Here is a 16,687-nt window from a genome sequence, read left to right as displayed (position 1 = left end):
GCATTTACTATCTCAAGACCTTTGGGCATGTTGTCCCTTCTACCTGGAATACCCTTCCTTCAAAACTCAGAGCCAAAAGCAAAAAGCGTTCGCTGATCGCAGAGGGGGAGAGGGATGTGGGAGGGCTTGGGGCGCAGAATTAGTTGCTACCTCCTCTGGGCGTTCACAGGCCAAATTTCCTTGGTGTGGCACCTGGCATTCTGTGATTGTGCCTGTTTCCCTGTGGTCTGGTCCTGTGCCTATTGGCCCAATTACACTGGGAGTCATACAGATCTGCAAATTTGTGCGTTTTAATTTTACGGTAATGTTTAACGTGTTGCAGGGTTCTTCAGGGGACCAGTCCCAATAGAGGGAGAAGAGGCAGGGCTTGTCCTGCCTCCAGTGCCAGCTGTCAGTGGCAGCAGAGGCCTTGAGGGTTGAGCATCTTCTGGATCCAGCAGAGGCCTCCCAGGAGGGGAGCCAGGTGGCTGAAGGCAAGCACTGGGAGGGCTCAGGTTCTGCCCTGGGGGATCCTGGGACTGGAGATTGGCACCTGCCCCCAAGGCTTGGCCTGTGCCCTTGGTGCCCCCTTTGCCTGCCCAAGTCTACTGCATGTGAGCTCAGGATCCTTTCCCCGTAAGCCAGGACATGTCGCCAGTCCTGCAGGAGTGAGGGGAGGAGGGGTCAAGACAGAAGAAAACAGGCTCTCCACTCTGGGCACCCTGAACAGCTGGCCCTTGAGGACAGCAGGGGGTCTGTTCTGTGCCAGACCCTAGTGCCCAGCAGGGAGGTGTACTTGGACAGAGGGAGATAAGACCATTGGGTGGAGGGTCTGGGCTGACATGGGAAAGGCTCAGAACGGTCAACATGAAGGACACACGTACTTGCTGTGCAGCACAAACAGCCTTCACGAAGGCAAGAGAGAGAAACGGAGAGAAGGCCAAGGAGAGAGCATGTCATTTATCATGTCCCCTTCTGGTCCTCCATTGTTTCCAGCCTGAAGCCTGCCCCTGTCTCATAGCCTCCCAGTGGCCTCCAGGCTGTCCCCAGTCCCTGGGAGCTCTCTCCCAGAGGGTGAATCTCATTGACACCACACCAGGATAAGGGAACTGGCTGGTGTTGAGTGAAACCTAGAACCACCCCCACCATCTATGTGGAGGGCATACCCAGGGCATCAGTAGCTGCATTTCCCACCTAGCTTCTGCCAGGCTCAGCACAACTATGTCCAGTTAGGTGTCCCACGCCTGGTGATTGCCCATGCATTGGGCCCTGACCCCTTCCCACAGCACTGGCCCTGCCTGGTGACACACATCTCTATCCCTTCCATCCACCATGAACACATAACCAGCCTGCTCTCAAACCATGATCCTTGCCCCACACCTCCCTGTAGTCCTGTAAGCCTCAGGCGATGCAAACCAAGAGGGGAAAGGCCCTGGAGGGTTGTGGGGGCGGCTGGCTGTCATAGGCACCTTAGCCAGTACTCCAGGGAACTACTCCCACCCCCAGGCTTCCCACACCCACACTCACTCCACCTCCCGCTTCCGGATGGCACGGCCTGAGGCCAGCACCTCAGCGACCTTGGACACAATGGGATCGTAGTTCATGCTGGCCACGGCGATCACCTCGTCGCCTCTGCAAGGAGAGGATGGCCAAGCCTGAGGACTGCGAGGCAGCAGCCCCTTTTTGAAAACCCTGATGCACTGCTGTCCATCTGGGGCCCAGGGAAGGACCTACCCCAGGGCAACAAGAATGGCCTGAGCACCCAGCCCTCCCTGCTTTGCACATCGCGGCTTGACCGTGCACAAGCTTCGGGCTTTCCTAAGGAAGCTCCAGCACTCCTCAGCGGGGCTCAGGGCTGGGCTCTTGTTCTGGGATTTTGCCTGGGATGAATCCCCCTTCCCGACTGAGCTCCCGCTGCTTCGCGCCAAGCTGCACCCCGGTGCTCTCACTTAGTGTAAAAAGCCACAAACTTCAGCTCCTCCAGATCCCCCTGGATGATGACGTCGTCGAAGCCTTCTCCGTAGCCTGTGGGCCGGGCAGGTGGGTGGCACCCACGTGAGCCGGGGGAGGGAACGAGACGTCACAGGATCCCCTCCTAACCCCGCCCAGGCCCTGCTCCATACGTCCTTTTAGGTAGTTCGTAGCCTTGCCGCCAGCGAGTTCTTACCGGCCTCTTCCTAGTGCGGTCATAGCCCTGCCCCTAGGCTCCCAGCCCCGCCCCACACCCAAGCCCCGCCCCTAAACGCCCTCGGCCCCGCCCCCATCCGAGGCCCCGGGGTTACCCGCGTAGCGCAGGCTCTTGCCAAACATGGCGGTCCAGAGGTAGGGCACAGTGCTCATCTCCGCCTCCTGCGCCAACATGTTCTGGGCTGCCACGCGCCCTGCGGGACCCAGGGCCGTGAGAACCCTAACTCTCGCTCTTACCACTCCCACACTACCTGCTCCTGATGCCCTGGGGACCCCTGACACGTGTGGCTACTCCTCCTGGTCTCCCCAGAGGTCAAGAGACATCATTGTTCAGCCCACTGCTCACTTGCACCTGCAGCTGACTGGTGCAGGGGAACACCTGCCTCAAAGCTAGCCACTTGATTGCTTCCTTAAAGAATCTGAATAAAGTGCCCTGACTCTGGAAGGTCTGCTTCTTGGGGTTGGGGGAGTACGCCACCATTTCAGCTGTGCACACAGACACCTAATCAGACGTATCAGGTCTGAAGAGGGAGGAAAATGGGGCACAAGTACACAGGGAAGCACAGATGACAGCCACACACAAGGCCCCAAAGAGACCAGTGTGGATGGCTCCCCAGTTCCTATGAGGCCCCAGTAGACCCCTGTAGTTGGATGTACTTCAAAGTCCCCTAAACTCTCTCAGTTAAATCCTAATTATACTTGGCTGATAAGTTGCCTTGGTTACTTACAACCTAGCAACAACTTTCGACTTTGGACTTGAATAGAAATTGGTACCAGAAGTGGGGTTTCAAGCAGCAGACCCTCAGGTGTAAAGGCAGAGGAAAGGGGAGATGGGTGCAGAGAAGTCCTTTGTCCCAGGCTGGGAGTCTGGCAGTCCTCTCTCTGAGGCAGTGAGGCAACTAATGTGATGGCACCTGCAGCTTAGGGGCCCAGACCAGATGTGCACAGTGGATGAGGCTTGGGGGACTTGGTGGCCAGCAAACATCAGGAGGGGAAAGCTATTCCTCAGAAAGCACAGTGCCTCCACTGAGCCCACGTCTCTGGGCTCAGATGGCACCTCGGGGACCTGCATGAGGCTGAACTGAGTTCACAGAGATACTTGAGTGGCCCAAGGGAAACAGAGGCATAAATGGGAAGGTGATCCACTAAATCCCTCCCTCCCTCCCCAGGGTAATGCACAGGTTGATCAGGAATTCTGCAGAATATATGTCCTTGAAGACAAAAAAGGGAGAGACTACCAGAAGGAAAACTGAGATTGAGGAGCTATGGCTGGCTCAGTGGGGTGTCGCTCTCTGTGTTGGCTGGATCGCCGAGATGAGGCTGGCCAGAGAATCCACATCAGAGCTTTGATGCCTAACAGTGTCCAGGACCCAAGGTCAGCAACTGAGGCATGGGCATGGGGACACTGAGACCCTGAGACTCCCTCCCACCCCTCCATGTGCCTCGGGACTGGCCATACCCTGAGCATGAGCCATCTGCCAATGTGGAATGTTCACTTTGCGGTTGTTCCTCCAGGCAAGGGGGAAGGTGACAGCATCGCCAGCTGCAAACACGCCTGGGACATTGGTCTGCATCATCTGTAGAGAGAGGGCCCAGAGCTCCATGGGTGTGACAGGGGCCCTGACCTGAACCTCCTGCCACTCCCAGCCCAGCACCGGGTCCTCCCCACCCAGTGCCATCCACCCCACCTTGTTGACAGGGATGAAGCCTCGGGAATCCAAACCGATGCCGCTTTGCCTCAGGAAGCCTGTGGCGGGCACTGCACCTGACAGGACGGAAGCCTGTGTCCACTCCCCTGTCCCTGCCTTCTGCGTAGTCACTCTCCACACCCTACAGCATGCGCTTGATGTGCCAGCCCCAGACTGATCCTCCAGGGGCTGTCTACCTGAGGCCTTCATGCACCCTGGTCCCCACTACCCGGTCTCCCACAGACCCGGTGCCTCCCGCAAGACCTCAGATATCACCTTCTCCAAGAAGTGCTCCATGAGGCCCTTAAGTGGAGGGACAGCATGCCATACCTCCTCAGCCCCTGCAGGTGCTACCACCTCCCATCTTGGCCCCTACCCAAATTGGCACTTCAGCTGGAGCAGAAGCCAGTTCGAGTCTCGTCTATGTCAACTCTCGCAGGGCATGGAGATGAGTGTTACTGGGCAGCGGGCACTGGGAGCATCCACTGTGCCAGGCCTGGGCTGAGCCCAGTACATACCTTCCCCAACAGCTCCGTAAAGTGGGGGCGGTTGGGGGTTCCCATTTGACAGATGTGGTGGAAACTGAGGCTCTGGGAGGGGAAGGGACTAGCCCAAGGTCACATGTGAGCATGTGCAGACGGCTGGGCTGCTTTGTGCCTGCCTGCCCACACACCAACTCACCAATGCCCACCACGCAGACGTCAGCCCGCACGACCTTGCTGCTCTTCAGCACAACCTCCTTCAGCTGTGGGGAGTGGGTGGATAAACAGGTGGACCCAGCTCCCAGGCTCAGGGGACAGAGGACAGAAAGCAGCAGGGAGAAGGGAGAAGGGCCCACCTTTCCCTCCTGGCCCCGCAGCTCAGACACCTCCGTCTGCATGTAGAACTTCACCCGGTTGTTCTCAAACATCTGTCAGGGCAAGTGGGCAGGTGGGCGGTGGATGAGAGCCCAGCCAGGGGCCGGGCTGGGCCCCAGGGCTCCAAGGCACTGGGTGCTGGGGTGGGCTCACCTTCATGAGGGCACGACCCACGCGCTCCCCCAGGAACCTCCTGAAGGGCGTCTCCTCCAGCTCCACCACAGACACAGAGTGGGCCTTCTCCGTCAGGTAAGCGGCCACCTCCATCCCTGGTGATGGGCAGGGGGTGGCAGGCTGGCACCTGCACCTTCCTCGACCAGAACTTCCCTGGGACTGGCCATGACGACCTGACCACCATCTCCACTGCCCACTACCTCTCACCCAGGAAGCCGGCTCCCACGACGACCACGTTGCGGCCTCGGGCCAGCCTCACCACGCGATTGGCATCCTCTGGCGTCCGGATAGTGAACACGTTCTCCACTTCTTTGCCTTTGCAGCTCAGAGTCTTGGGGCTGAGACATGGCCGTGTCAGTGAGGGCCTCCTGGCAGCCCCAGCCCCGTCCAGGCCAGTGCCCTGCCTAGTGTCCGATGGGTAAAAAGGAGACCCTCCCACCTGCTCCCTGGTGCCAGCAGCAGCTTGCTGTACTCCAGCTTGAAGCCATCCTTGAACACGACCTTCTTAGTTCTCACGTCCACTGTGACCACCTGCAATCCCCACCAGGCAGAGCATGAGCTTGGGCATGGGGCTGGGCCTCGCCGCCCACTCCCCGGTCCTGCAGTACACCCACAGCCCAGCCACAGCCTCTGAGAAGCTCCCATTAAAACAGATCCTGCCACCTGGGCTTCATTCTTTACGCTTCAGACATCACCTTCCCCTCAAACCTCTCCTTACCCTCCCAAGTCCCACCAGTATCTCCTATCCAGCCCTGATCGTTCATCTCCACACACCGTGGGGCTCTGTGTGTGCCTATGACCCATCAGGAAAAAGCTCCTTGCTGTCTCCCAAGCCTGGAGCACCTCCCAGGTGCCTGGGCTGTGGGGCCAGGAAGGTAGAGCACCAAGACCCCACCCCAGGGGCCCACACAACCTCACGGTTCCCACCTTCCCTCCTCGGGCCTGTTTCCCACCCTTGACCCTGTACCTGAGCCTCGGTGAGCACCTCGATGCCATAGGCTCGGAAAAACTCCTTGGGCCTCAGGGCCAGCTGCTCAGGCTGTGTGTCCAGGGACTGCAGGGGAGAGCCAGCTTGAGAGGAGCCAGTTTACAGCAGAAGACACTGGGGCCCAGGGAAGGTGGGGCCAGCCCCAGTCACATAGGGGCTGCAGGACAGAACTCAGCAAACCCAGATCTGGCCAGGCGCAGTGACTCATGCCTGTGATCCCAACACTTTGGGAGGCTGAGACAGGAGGATCGCTTGAACCAGGAGTTCAAGACCAGCCTGGGCAGCATGACAAAAATGACCTCATTTCTACAAAAAATACAAAATATTAGCCAGGCATGGTGGTGCGCGCCTGTAGTCCTAGCTACCCGGGAGGCAGAGGTGGGAGGATCGTTTGAGCCCGGGAGGTGGAGGTCGACGCTGCAGTGAGCCGTGAGACAGGCACTGCTCTCCAGCCTGAGTGACAGAGCAAGACTCTGTCTCAAAAAAAGAAAAGCCAGGTGCAGTGGCTCACACCTGTAATCCTAGCACCTTGGGAGGCTGAGGTGGGCGGATGGGCTGAGCTCAGGAGTTCAAGACTGGTCTGGGCAACATGGTGAAACCCCATCTCTACTAAAAATACAAAAAATTAGCCAGGCATGGTGGTGGTGCACACCTGTAATCCCAGCTACTCGGAAGGCTGAAGCATGAGAATCGCTTGAACCCAGGAGGTGGAAGTTGCAGTGAGCCGAGAAGGCGCCACTGCATCCCAGCCTGGGCGACAGAGTGAGACCCTGTCTCAAAACAACAACAACAAATCTAGATCTTTTGGGGGTACCACGGACAGGCCTGGCATAAGCAGGGAGGGCAGCCGGCCAGACCCCAATGGGGTGACAAGCAAGGCTTGAAGTGGGCTTAACTGGGACCCAGAGGGATAGGGTCCCTACTTGCCCCACCCCCTGTACCTTGCTGAGCTTGGGACGGTCGTAGGGAAGGTGCCGGTCTAGCGTGCACAGGACGATCCGGTCGGAGAAGCCCTCCTGCCGCAGTGTCTCTGCACACACCAGGCCAGCTGCACCTGAGGGGAGGGGCCCGTGGGCCAGGAACCACTTCTCACCAATCCCATCTCCCACCCTGCCCCTCATGACCCCACTACCAACCTGCACCCACAATGAGCACATTGGTGCTACTGCTGTACCCAGCACTTGGAGAGATACACTTGGCCATCACCTTGGTCCTTCGCTGCAGCTGTAGGGCCTGTGGGTGCCAGGAGGGTGGAGGGTCACTGCCATCCTCTGCATGCCATCATCCTGGCAGGCAGGTCCTGGCGCTCCAGCCCAGCCTCATCCCTACCGCAACCCCTCACTCTGCTCCAGTGACACGTGCCAAGCTCCTCCCACCACAGGGCTTTGCACATGGCATTCTCTGGGCCAAGATGCCCTCCCGGCTCCTCCCTTCTGCCTGAGCCCCGAGCTATCCCCTCACCTGCTTGCTGGCCCGGACGTACACCTTCTCCTTCTCAATCTTCACCTGCAAGGGCTGCATTGCTCAGGACCAGCCCCGAACCCCACACCCCCAGGTTCCCACCCCATCGCACTCCTGGCCCCACCTGGAACTTGTGTAGACTGTCCAGGCCAGGGAAGTCCTCCAGGTCCCCAGTGCTGATGTTGAAGCAGGCGCCGTGCCAGGGGCAGCGCACCCGACCACGGGACAGAACGCCTGGGAAGGGGAGGTGTTAGGCTGCGCCCACCAGCAGGGGTTGCTTCCCAAGGATCTCAGTGCCCCGGCAACTGCGGGCCCCTCCCCACAGCCCAGGAGACTTCACTAATAGATGAAGATCCTGGGGTCTGGGGAGGAGCCAAGCTGGCATGGGGCCTGGAAGGTCCCCCTCACGCCTCCCACCTGACAGCTCACCTTTCACCAGGGGTGCGCCGTAGTGCGGACACTTATGGCCCAGGGCGTGGAACTCCCCATTGTCCTTCACCAGCAACACCTTCCCCCAGCCCAGCTCCACTTCCCGCATCCTGGGGAACCGCAGCACTCAGAGGTCAGGCCAGACACCAGGCACAACCTCCTGGCAGCTCCTCCCAGTGTCCAGCCTTCTGGGGAGCAGGCCCAGACCGGTAGAAGCCACAAAGGCAGTGACCAGGGCAGCAGCTGGTCATAGCCCCTTCAGGCCAACCCCGACCCCCGGCTATGGCCCCCTCACCCTCCCACCTTGGGACCCCTGATCCCCGCTCCCAGGCAAGCCCAGAACCCACTGGCCATTCTCGAGGTCCTTGACGTGGCAGACAGCAGCCTCCACGCAATCCTGAGGGCTGGGGTAGGGGTGAGGGGTGGACAGGCGCTCCTCCGTGTGGAAGTGGCGGGCCGTGCCATTGCCCTGGTAGGCCCGGGGGCTGCCCTTCCCACTGGCCGACAGCTCCTCCTTGCCTCGCTCCTTCTCAGGCAGCACCACCTCGATCTTGAGCTCCACTGTGGGCAAGGCAGCGCCTTGAGCCCCCCACCTCAGCCAACTTCCTCCCCCATCCCTCAAGCTGGGTGCAGAGGCCAGCTCCTCGGGGTGCCAGGAGGCTCAGCCCTGCCTGGCAACCTCCCCAGAATTCCCTCTGCACCACCAGCCCAGCAAAGAGCCTTAAACCTGGCACGAAGCAGCGGAGGGGCATGGATGGGTGGGGGTGCTCCCGGGTCTGCTTGAATTCGTTTCTGCATGTCTCTTTTTTCTTTTTTTTTTTGAGACAGGGTCTCACTCTGTCGCCCAAGCTGTAGTGCAGTCATGCAATCTCGGCTCGCTGCAGTCTCTGCCTCCTGGGTTCAAGTGATTCTCCCATCTCAGCCTCCCCAGTAGCTGGGACTTCATGTGCATACCACCACGCCAGAGGTGTGGCGTGACAGGGTTGGTAGAGACAGGGTTTTGCCATGTTGGCCAGGCTGGTCTCAAACTCCTGACCTCAAGTGATCTGCCCGCCTCAGCCTCCCAAAGTGCTGGGATTACAGGCTTGAGCTACCACACCCCGCCTCCTTTTTCAATTACAGTGTTAGTGAGGGGGACACAGAGCTGAGTTCCTTCGACCCTGCAGTTCTCCTGGCTGCAGAAACCTCTGTGGCAGAAAGAACCCTGAGGCCCTACAGTCCTGCATCTTCTGATGGACAATGACAATGTCCCTGACATCTCAGGGTATGACTCATGTACATACAGGAATTCAAAAGTGGCAGCAGCTCAGTTCCCAGCCAGTGAATCTGGGTGACAGGAAGTCAAGGGTTCATTGTTCTAGTCTTACAACTTTCCCATATATTTGAATTTTTTTCAAAAATTAAAAAAAATGTACACAGCATAATTCACAGCATAATTTCAACTTCTTCTTTTTTTTTTTTTTTTGAGATGGAGTTTCGCTGTTGTTGCCCAGGCTGGAGTGCAATGGTGCGATCTTGGCTCACTGCAACTTCCCCCTCCCAGGTTCAAGCGATTCTCCTGCCTCAACCTCTTGAGCAGCTGGGATTACAGGCGTGTGCCACCACACCTGACTAATTTTTGTATTTTTAGTAGAGACAGGGCTCCATGTTGGTCAGGCTGGTCTCGAACTCCTGACCTCAGGTGATCCACCCGCTTCGGCCTCCCAAAATGCTGGGATTACAGGCGTGGGCCACCACTCCCGGCCCGATTTCAACTTCTCAAAATAGCTCTTCTCACCAATTTGAGAATCCTTCATCACTAACCAGGTGCTGGGTTTTCAGTGTCCTCGTGTGCCCTGGGGGTGAACCTGAGCATGGGAATGCATGTGGATGGCACAGAGGGGGCACAGCCCCCCCCCCCCACAGCCTCCATACAGAGCCACTTCCCCAGCGTGCCCACGGGGCCAGCTCTAGCGGGGAGTGAGCCAGAGATTGCCATTTTCTTCTTTATACTTTTGCACATTTTCCAAATTCCCTGTGATGTGCCTGGGATATTTTTCTAATTAGAAGGGAACAATAAACAGAATTTTTAGCAGCAATAATCTGGCCTCCCAGGCTGCTGCTGCAGGGAGGAAGCTGAGTGATGGACACTAAGCCCCTGGCACAGCATGGGCCCGATGCTGGAGCAGGAGGTACCTCTCTCACTTCCCAAGGCACCAGCACCTCTGGGTTTTACCTCTCATCCCTTCCACCTCAGAACTGACACTCCAGAAACCAAGAACCCAGAGAGGCTGCCGAGATGCACCTCCAGGCCTTTGCCTGAGCTGTCCCCTGGGCTGGGGCTGCCATCCTTCCTATCTACCCAGACAAGGCTCAGGAGTTGCCTCTCCTGGCTGCCCAGCCCATCCATCATCTCATGCTCTGCTAAATCCTCCACGCTGGCCAGGTCCCCTCCCCAGCCCCAAGTCCCAGCCCTCAGCTCAGGCCCAGGCATAGCAGGGCACAGGGGCAAAGAAAAGGTCAGTTCCTTGACCCCAGCCCAGCAGGGAGGATGCAGAGCACAGAGCCACACTGAGGCCATCGTATCAGGTGGGGGGTTATGGGTGGGGCTTTCATTCCATTTTCTATACCTTATGTAATGGTGTTAGAATGTTTTTGGAAGAATTAAAAAGAGAAATACTTTGGACTTAGCTGACACCAGCTGTGGAAGCTGTGGGAGCTCACAAATAGCCTGGCAGGGGGGCCAGATAATGCCAAGCCAGGCTGCTCTCATCCTCCACCTCCTCCCAGAAGGCTCCAAGCCCACTCACTGATGCAGTCTAATGGAAGCCATTAAGTCAGGGGCCCTTTGGAAAGGTAGAGGGGAGAGGCGTCTCTGCTCACCCACAAAACTGGATCAGCCCCAGCTCCATGACTTCTGGCTGCCCATAAGACCTGCCTTAGCCCCTTTGGGCCTTAAGATGCCTTTATTATAAAATGGAGAGAAGGCCAGGTGTGGTGGCTCATGCCTGTAATCCCAACACTTTGGGAGGCCAAGGCAGGAGGATCGCTTGAGTCCAGGAGTTCAAGACCAGCCTGGGCAACAGGGTGAGATGCAGTCTCTACAAAAAATTTAAAAATTGCCAGTTGGCCGGGAATGATGGCTCATGCCTGTAATCCCAGCACTTTGAGAGGCCGAGGCAGGCAGATCACTTGAGGTCAGGAGTTCGAGACCAGCCTGGCCAACATGGCAAAACCCAGTCTCTACTAAAAATATAAAAATTAGCCAGGCATGATGGCATGCGCTTATAATCCCAGCTACTTGGGAGCCTGAGGCAGGAGAATCGCTTGAACCTGGGAGGCGGAGGTTGCAGTGAGCCAAGATCAAGCCATTGCACTCCAGCCTGGGTGAGGGAGTGAGATTGTCTCTCAAAAAATAAAAAAGTTAAAAAAATAAATAAAATTGCCAGTCGTGGTGGTGCAGGCCTGTAGTCCCTGCTACTCAGGAGGTGGGAGGATCACTTGAGCCCAGGAGTTCTAGGTTGCTGCGAGCTATGATTATGCGACTTTACTCCAACCTGGGCAACAGAATGAGACCCCATCTCAAAAAATGAAAATAAAACAGAGAGAACAGCAAATGCCTACCTCGTTGGTGACAGTGAATGCTGAAGGAAATACTGTATGTAACCCAGAGTAGAAGCTCAATAGATGGAGTTGGGCAGCAGTGTTTTACCAGTTAGCTCTGAGCCTCCTAGCAGCCATGGTGAGGATGGAAAGCCTTTAGGTATCAGTTATGGCCTAATAAAAGGCAGGTGAACAGATGCTAAGAGAGCTGCACTTCCTCCTAGCTCTGAGCTAGGTGAGGGACTGGTCTGATACCTTCTTATCAACTACTCAGACAGGACACACAGGAGCACAGAGGGAACCCAGGAAGCAGGTGCTGATGCACACGGAGCCACAGAATCGAGTGGAGCAAGATAGAAAGTGAAGGATTTGCACAGAGGTCTTCTGCTTGATCTAGTCTCTTTGTGGCCCCTTAAGACCCCAGCTGAACCCTCAGGCCCCAAATGCTGTCACTCCCATATCTGGAAATTCCCTGAGCCTCATGCCTGACCTGCCCAGCATGGGCACCTGGGGCCTGAGCCTCTGGCTACAGCCCCACAGGGGAGGCCTGGCAGCACAGAGCCCAGCTCAGAAAAGGGATAACAAATAATATTCCTTGGGAGGCCGAGATGGGCGGATCACAAGGTCAGGAGATAGAGACCATCCTGGCTAACACGGTGAAACCCCGTCTCTACTAAAAATACAAAAAAATAGCTGGGCGTGGTGGCGGGCGCCTGTAGTTCCAGCTACTTGGGAGGCTGAGGCAGGAGAATGGCATGAACCTGGGAGGCGGAGCTTGCAGTGAGCCGAGATCACGCCACTGCACTCCAGCATGGGAGAAGGAGTGAACTCTGTCTCAAAAAAAAAAAATTCCGCAAGTGCTTCTGGTGTGCCAGGCCCTCATGCTAGGCACAACAGCCCCACTTTACAATGAGGATGCAGAGGCTCAGAGAGGGGAAATCACCTGCCCAAGGCCACACAGCCAGAAAGGGGCAGGGCTGGATTTGCCTAAGTTCTTAGGACTGCCTTTGGTGAGGGTGGCCACCCCCGACACTGGAAGTCCTGGGGCCACGGGTCCCAGGCAGGCCAGCCATTTGGGGTCCTTTAAAAGAACCTGCAGGTGGCATCTTCTGCCAGGGCCTCCTGCCAGCCCAGCGGTGCCACAGACGCCTGGTATGAGGCCAGCTGGCATCATCCCACCCACTGCTAGGGGGAGACAATGGACGTCATCTGCCCAAGGCACATTTTGAGGCAGAGAGGGATCCAGCCCAGGCCTAGGTGTCCACAGCACAGGAGCGGGGGAGGAAGAGTGGCTTCTTGGAGCAGAGGCAAGTGGGTCCCTCTGCCTGGTGGGTCATCACAGCCCTCCTCCCTCGCCCAAGTTCTCCCTTAGACCCAGGAAAGGGAGAAAAGCCTCACAAGTTCCAAGGTAACGGAGCTGATGGGTATCAGGTAAGGGGAGCTGGGGTGAGCTGGCTGGGGTGAGCTGGCTGGGGTGAGCTGGCTGGGGCAGCGTGGCCTGGCAGGTTGAGTGGAGCACTGGCTGCGCTCTTGAGGTCTCTCTAAGCCTCAGTTTCTCCACCTGTGACAAAGCTGCACACTCCTGCCTCCCCAGGTGTTGTGAGGAGAGAAGAGGGAAAGTGGGGGGCCAGAGGGAGAGCTCCGCAGACATGAGTCTTTAGTGGAGAAAAGACCCAGGCCTCCCCTAGCACCCCAGGACACTCCCACTTCTGGCTGGAGTAGCTCAGGCTAGGTTGGATGGTGATTTCCTGTATAAATGGGGAAGTGTGCCCAGAAAGGCCAAGAAGGCAGCCCGAGACCACACAGGGGATCAGAGGAGGCAAAGAGAGCCAGGATCTGCCCACTACACCCTCACAGCAACTCTAAGAGGTCAGGGTGGCCAGGCCCTCTCTTTTGCAGAGAGAAAAACAGAGGCTCAGAGGGGTAACTTGCATGCCCTAGGTCACAGAGTGGCTGAGCGTGTCCCCAGCTCCCCCCTTCCCTGGCCCTGGGGGCATAGCCCCTTCCCCAACCCTGCAACAGGAGGAACCCTGACTTTCCTTTTCCAAGAAGGGTCCTGCTGTTATTCCCACCACCAACACTCAAAGCCCCAAAGAAAAAGGGGCACCCACTGGAGCAGGGGCCAGCTGGGGGAACTGCTCCAGGCCCCCTACCCCCTCCTGGCGGCAGCGTATTAACATTCCGAGCGGGTTCTTGGATAGCCTGACCTACTTCGGAGGCCTACCGAGTGCAGAGGGGGAGGGGGGGGAGACGGGGGAGGAGGAGGCGGGGAGGGAGGAGAAAGGATGGAGACAAGAAGACAGGAGGTACCTGGTTTGGGTTTGGAGAAGCAGCCGCCCATGGCGAGTGGCCTGAGGATGGCCGGCAGGCAGGAGCACAGATGGGGAGCTGTCGGAGGCCTAGGGCGCCCCCCATGGGGCTGGACCCCCTGCAGGCCTTAGAGACGCTGGAGCCGCCATCCTGCTGGAGCTGCTCTAGGACCTGCAGGGGAGACTGGAGCCATCAGGACCGGGGCGTGTGGGCAGGTAGAGACACAGAGGGACGGAGAGAGACAGTGGGAGCTTCGGAAAGAGTCTTACATTTGAGCTGGGAACCATGGCGTGAGCCTGATCCCAGAGCGTGGGGCCCTGGAGGTCACCTCCCCTTTGAAGCCCTCCAAGCTCAGCTCCCTCACTCCTCCAGTGGAGTTCCTCTGCCCGAACCTCGGCCGCCCATCGTCCAGCCCCGCGGCTGCCTTGCCCAGGAAATCCTCCCTGATTTCTACTGCCTCCTCGTGCCCCCCTTCCCCTCTCCAAATCCCACAGCCTGAGAGCTCTGGGACCCTCCATTCTCCCGGGAGACCACTATGCCTAGGCTCAAAGAGGGGGTCACCTTGGGGAAGCCAAAGCCCTTCTCATCCTTGGTCTTCTCCCTCCTACAATGGGGGTGACATCAGGCTCCCCCTAGCCCAGCCCCACCCTGGCTAGCACTCCGGACACCCACCTCCTCGCAGGGCAGCCACTGCTCCGTGTTCCAGGCCCAGCAGTGGACTGAGGCTGCCGGGCCTTGGAAGGCCGGGCAGGGAGGGCAGGGGTCCAGGAGGCGGCCCAGCCTCCACCCTCCTCCCAGCTCAAGCTGTGGCCAGGAGGGGCTGGGGGGCGGTGTGGGGCTGGGCCAGTCCACTGGTCCCCAGGGAAACCCTGCTCTGTGGTGAACAGAAGTGGGCGGCCAGCCCGGGCCTGATGGGGTTAGGGGAAAGGGAAGCCAGGCACACAGCCCTGCCACGCCTGTGCCCAGCAGCCATAAGCTCCCCCTACCCCCGACTCCAGCCCTTCACAAACGCCCACCAGGCCTGTGGGCAGTCATGCCCAACAGCATATGGGGAAAGCAAGGGGTCAAGGTCCCATCAAGGTCAAGCAGCAGGGGCATCCCTGTGGCCTCCCACCCCACCCTCCCACCTTGATCAGTTTTAAGGTGGGCAGGGGCCCAGAAAGCCCCCATATCACCCTAAGGCCCTGCAAGGTGCCCTGGGGGAGGGGACACCTGCACAGCAGAGAGATCACTGTAGCCAGGTGCCTTCCAGGCTACAGGGTGGGCCTTCCGGAAGATGCAGCCTACAGGTGGACTTTGGAAGGCCCAGGGCACAGGCATAAGCTGCCTTGTTTGCAAATGACCTCCCCACAGTCCATCCCACTGCCATCCTCCAGTTTCCTCTGGAAGTTCTTCCTGAAGTCTCACTTGAGGTGGGGCTGAGACCCACCTGGTCTGGTCCAGATACCAGGAAGGGCCGTGGGTGGGTGCCTGAGAGCAAGGGGTGGAAACAAAAGGCCAGGTTGGAGAGGGACCCTTGGTGCCTGGCCCCTGCGCCTGTCGGTCCTCGAGGTGCCCATTACAGGGGAGGAGGCGGTGGCTCCCACAGCCACTGGGGCGTGCCTTGGCTCTTTCCCCCACTTGTCATCAAAGAAGGTCTGTAAAACTCAACTGCCACCTGCCCCACCTGCCCCTTCCCTGGGCACTAGGCTGTCCCTTCCTGGGTCCTGGTTTCAGCCCTGGTTCAGCCCTGCCCGCTTCCTTCCTGGCTGACCTCAGGCCTCACCTGATGGGCCACAGATCCCAGAAAAGGTCAGACCTGGTCTTGCCACTGGGGACCTGCCCAGGCTGTGCTGTCCCTTCCCGAGTACCCAGGGACCTGAATCCCCCAGGGCCTGGGCCAGGAAGGAGACTGGGTGGGGCCCCTGTGCCTTCGGCCTACTGTGTGCTAGATCGGCTTGGAGCCCAGTCACCCCACTCAAAGGCAAAGGTCCTTGCCAGGGGCAGGGCAGGAGGGACCCCCAGAGTGCAGAGCGCCCGAGTGCTATTCCTTGCCCATGAGCTGCCCACTGCAGAAAAGTTCTAGCAGAGCCCAGTGCTAACCACCCAGCAGGAGTCTGTGTCTGTCCCAGGGACCCCAGGACCTGTGAGGCGGGACTGGATTACTCCCATCTCACAGAGCGGCCCCTGCTCCACCTGACCCTCCCAGGGCTCCTGGCGCCCCCAGGGTGCAGGCTGGGCAGGGTCCTCTCCCCACTCCTCCACCTCTCGCCACCTGCCCCCACTGCCTCATCCCAAGGGCTCCTGCCCAGATCGGACTCCCAGTGGCTTCCAGGCGTCCTAGGGGTGGCATCTGATCCCAGTCCTGCCTTCGAGTGTGGGGGCTCCGCGCTCTCCCCTCCCCCACGGAGCTCAGGGCAAGCCTCTGTCCACTCTCCCCGCCTCTGCACGTGCAGTTCCCTCTCTCTGGGAAGCCGATGCCAGCAGCCTCGCCGGCTCCGTCCCGTTGCCCCCGCCAGACCTTGCAGCCCGAGAAGGGGGACTGGCACACAGTGGGGCCCCGCGGCGAGCCGGGAAGGGGCCGTTGTGGGACGAGAGAAGGACGAGGTGAGCTTCGGACCCCGGCCAGTGCCTCTGGCCCCGCTTGCCAACCCCCAGCCCCTAACGTGCCGGGCCGGGGTCCGAGACTTGGGAGCGCAAGCGCTGGCCCCCGGCGCCGGGGCGAAGAGGCGGGGCGGCGGGCGGGGACCGGGGTTCCGGGGACCAGGGTCCCCGGGGCGGGCGCTCACCTGGGCTCGGCGCGGGCCTGGGCTCGGGAACCGCTTGGGGCCGCGGGCGCGGGGGGGCGGGGAGGCGCGGGCGGGGCGTGTCTGGCGCTGCGTTTGCACTGCGGCCGGGGAGCCCGCGGGCCCAGCACCGCCCCGCCGGGCCGGAGCAGGTGGGGGGCGGCCGGGGGACAGGGGCAGGCCGAGGCCCTCGGCGTCCGGACCGGAGTCGCGGGGCGTAGGGAGGCAGCCAGGGGCCGCTCTGGCCGGGGGCGCCCCGGGCCCGAG

General features: G+C 59.4%; 1 protein-coding gene across 5 annotated transcripts, besides 2 other annotated features; it reads right to left on the bottom strand.

The window, feature by feature from the left end:
* Positions 273 to 16,459, bottom strand: AIFM3 (AIF family member 3). 5 transcript variants are annotated; one of them, NM_144704.3, is made up of 21 exons: positions 16,424 to 16,459; positions 13,656 to 13,826; positions 8,111 to 8,324; positions 7,764 to 7,873; positions 7,459 to 7,568; positions 7,335 to 7,379; positions 7,010 to 7,106; positions 6,815 to 6,927; positions 5,853 to 5,939; positions 5,325 to 5,416; positions 5,093 to 5,223; positions 4,865 to 4,980; positions 4,693 to 4,764; positions 4,536 to 4,599; positions 3,855 to 3,931; positions 3,626 to 3,743; positions 2,262 to 2,360; positions 1,929 to 2,004; positions 1,507 to 1,611; positions 864 to 884; positions 273 to 639 (listed from the first exon to the last, which is right to left on the bottom strand). In NM_144704.3, exons 2-21 carry the CDS (start codon positions 13,684 to 13,686, stop codon positions 600 to 602), a joined length of 1,818 nt encoding a protein of 605 aa, NP_653305.1. In that variant the 5' UTR covers positions 13,687 to 13,826; positions 16,424 to 16,459; the 3' UTR covers positions 273 to 599. The 5 variants fall into 5 exon arrangements, 4 of the variants coding, with proteins under 4 accessions (NP_653305.1, NP_001373743.1, NP_001018070.1 ...); NM_001386814.1 differs by lacking the exon at positions 16,424 to 16,459 and adding an exon at positions 14,328 to 14,376; NM_001018060.3 differs by lacking the exon at positions 864 to 884.
* Positions 1,937 to 2,231: an enhancer, noted in NCBI's record as "tiled region #818; K562 Activating non-DNase unmatched - State 25:Art, and HepG2 Activating non-DNase unmatched - State 8:EnhW". NCBI's record gives its function as "activates a minimal TATA promoter and a strong SV40 promoter by Sharpr-MPRA in K562 cells, with weaker activation in HepG2 cells {active_cell/tissue: HepG2 | K562}" and the evidence as "EXISTENCE:reporter gene assay evidence [ECO:0000049][PMID:27701403]".
* Positions 9,532 to 9,723: a silencer, noted in NCBI's record as "fragment chr22:21326197-21326388 (GRCh37/hg19 assembly coordinates)". NCBI's record gives its function as "represses an EF-1alpha promoter that drives an FKBP-Casp9 reporter gene in an ReSE screen in phorbol 12-myristate 13-acetate-treated (for megakaryocytic differentiation) K562 erythroleukemia cells {active_cell/tissue: K562(+PMA)}" and the evidence as "EXISTENCE:reporter gene assay evidence [ECO:0000049][PMID:32094911]".
* Positions 16,460 to 16,687: the final 228 nt, after the last annotated feature.

Source organism: Homo sapiens, chromosome 22, assembly GCF_000001405.40.
Source record: "Homo sapiens chromosome 22, GRCh38.p14 Primary Assembly".
NCBI lineage: Eukaryota > Metazoa > Chordata > Mammalia > Primates > Hominidae > Homo > Homo sapiens.
This window is presented reverse-complemented; position numbering and strand designations above follow the sequence as displayed.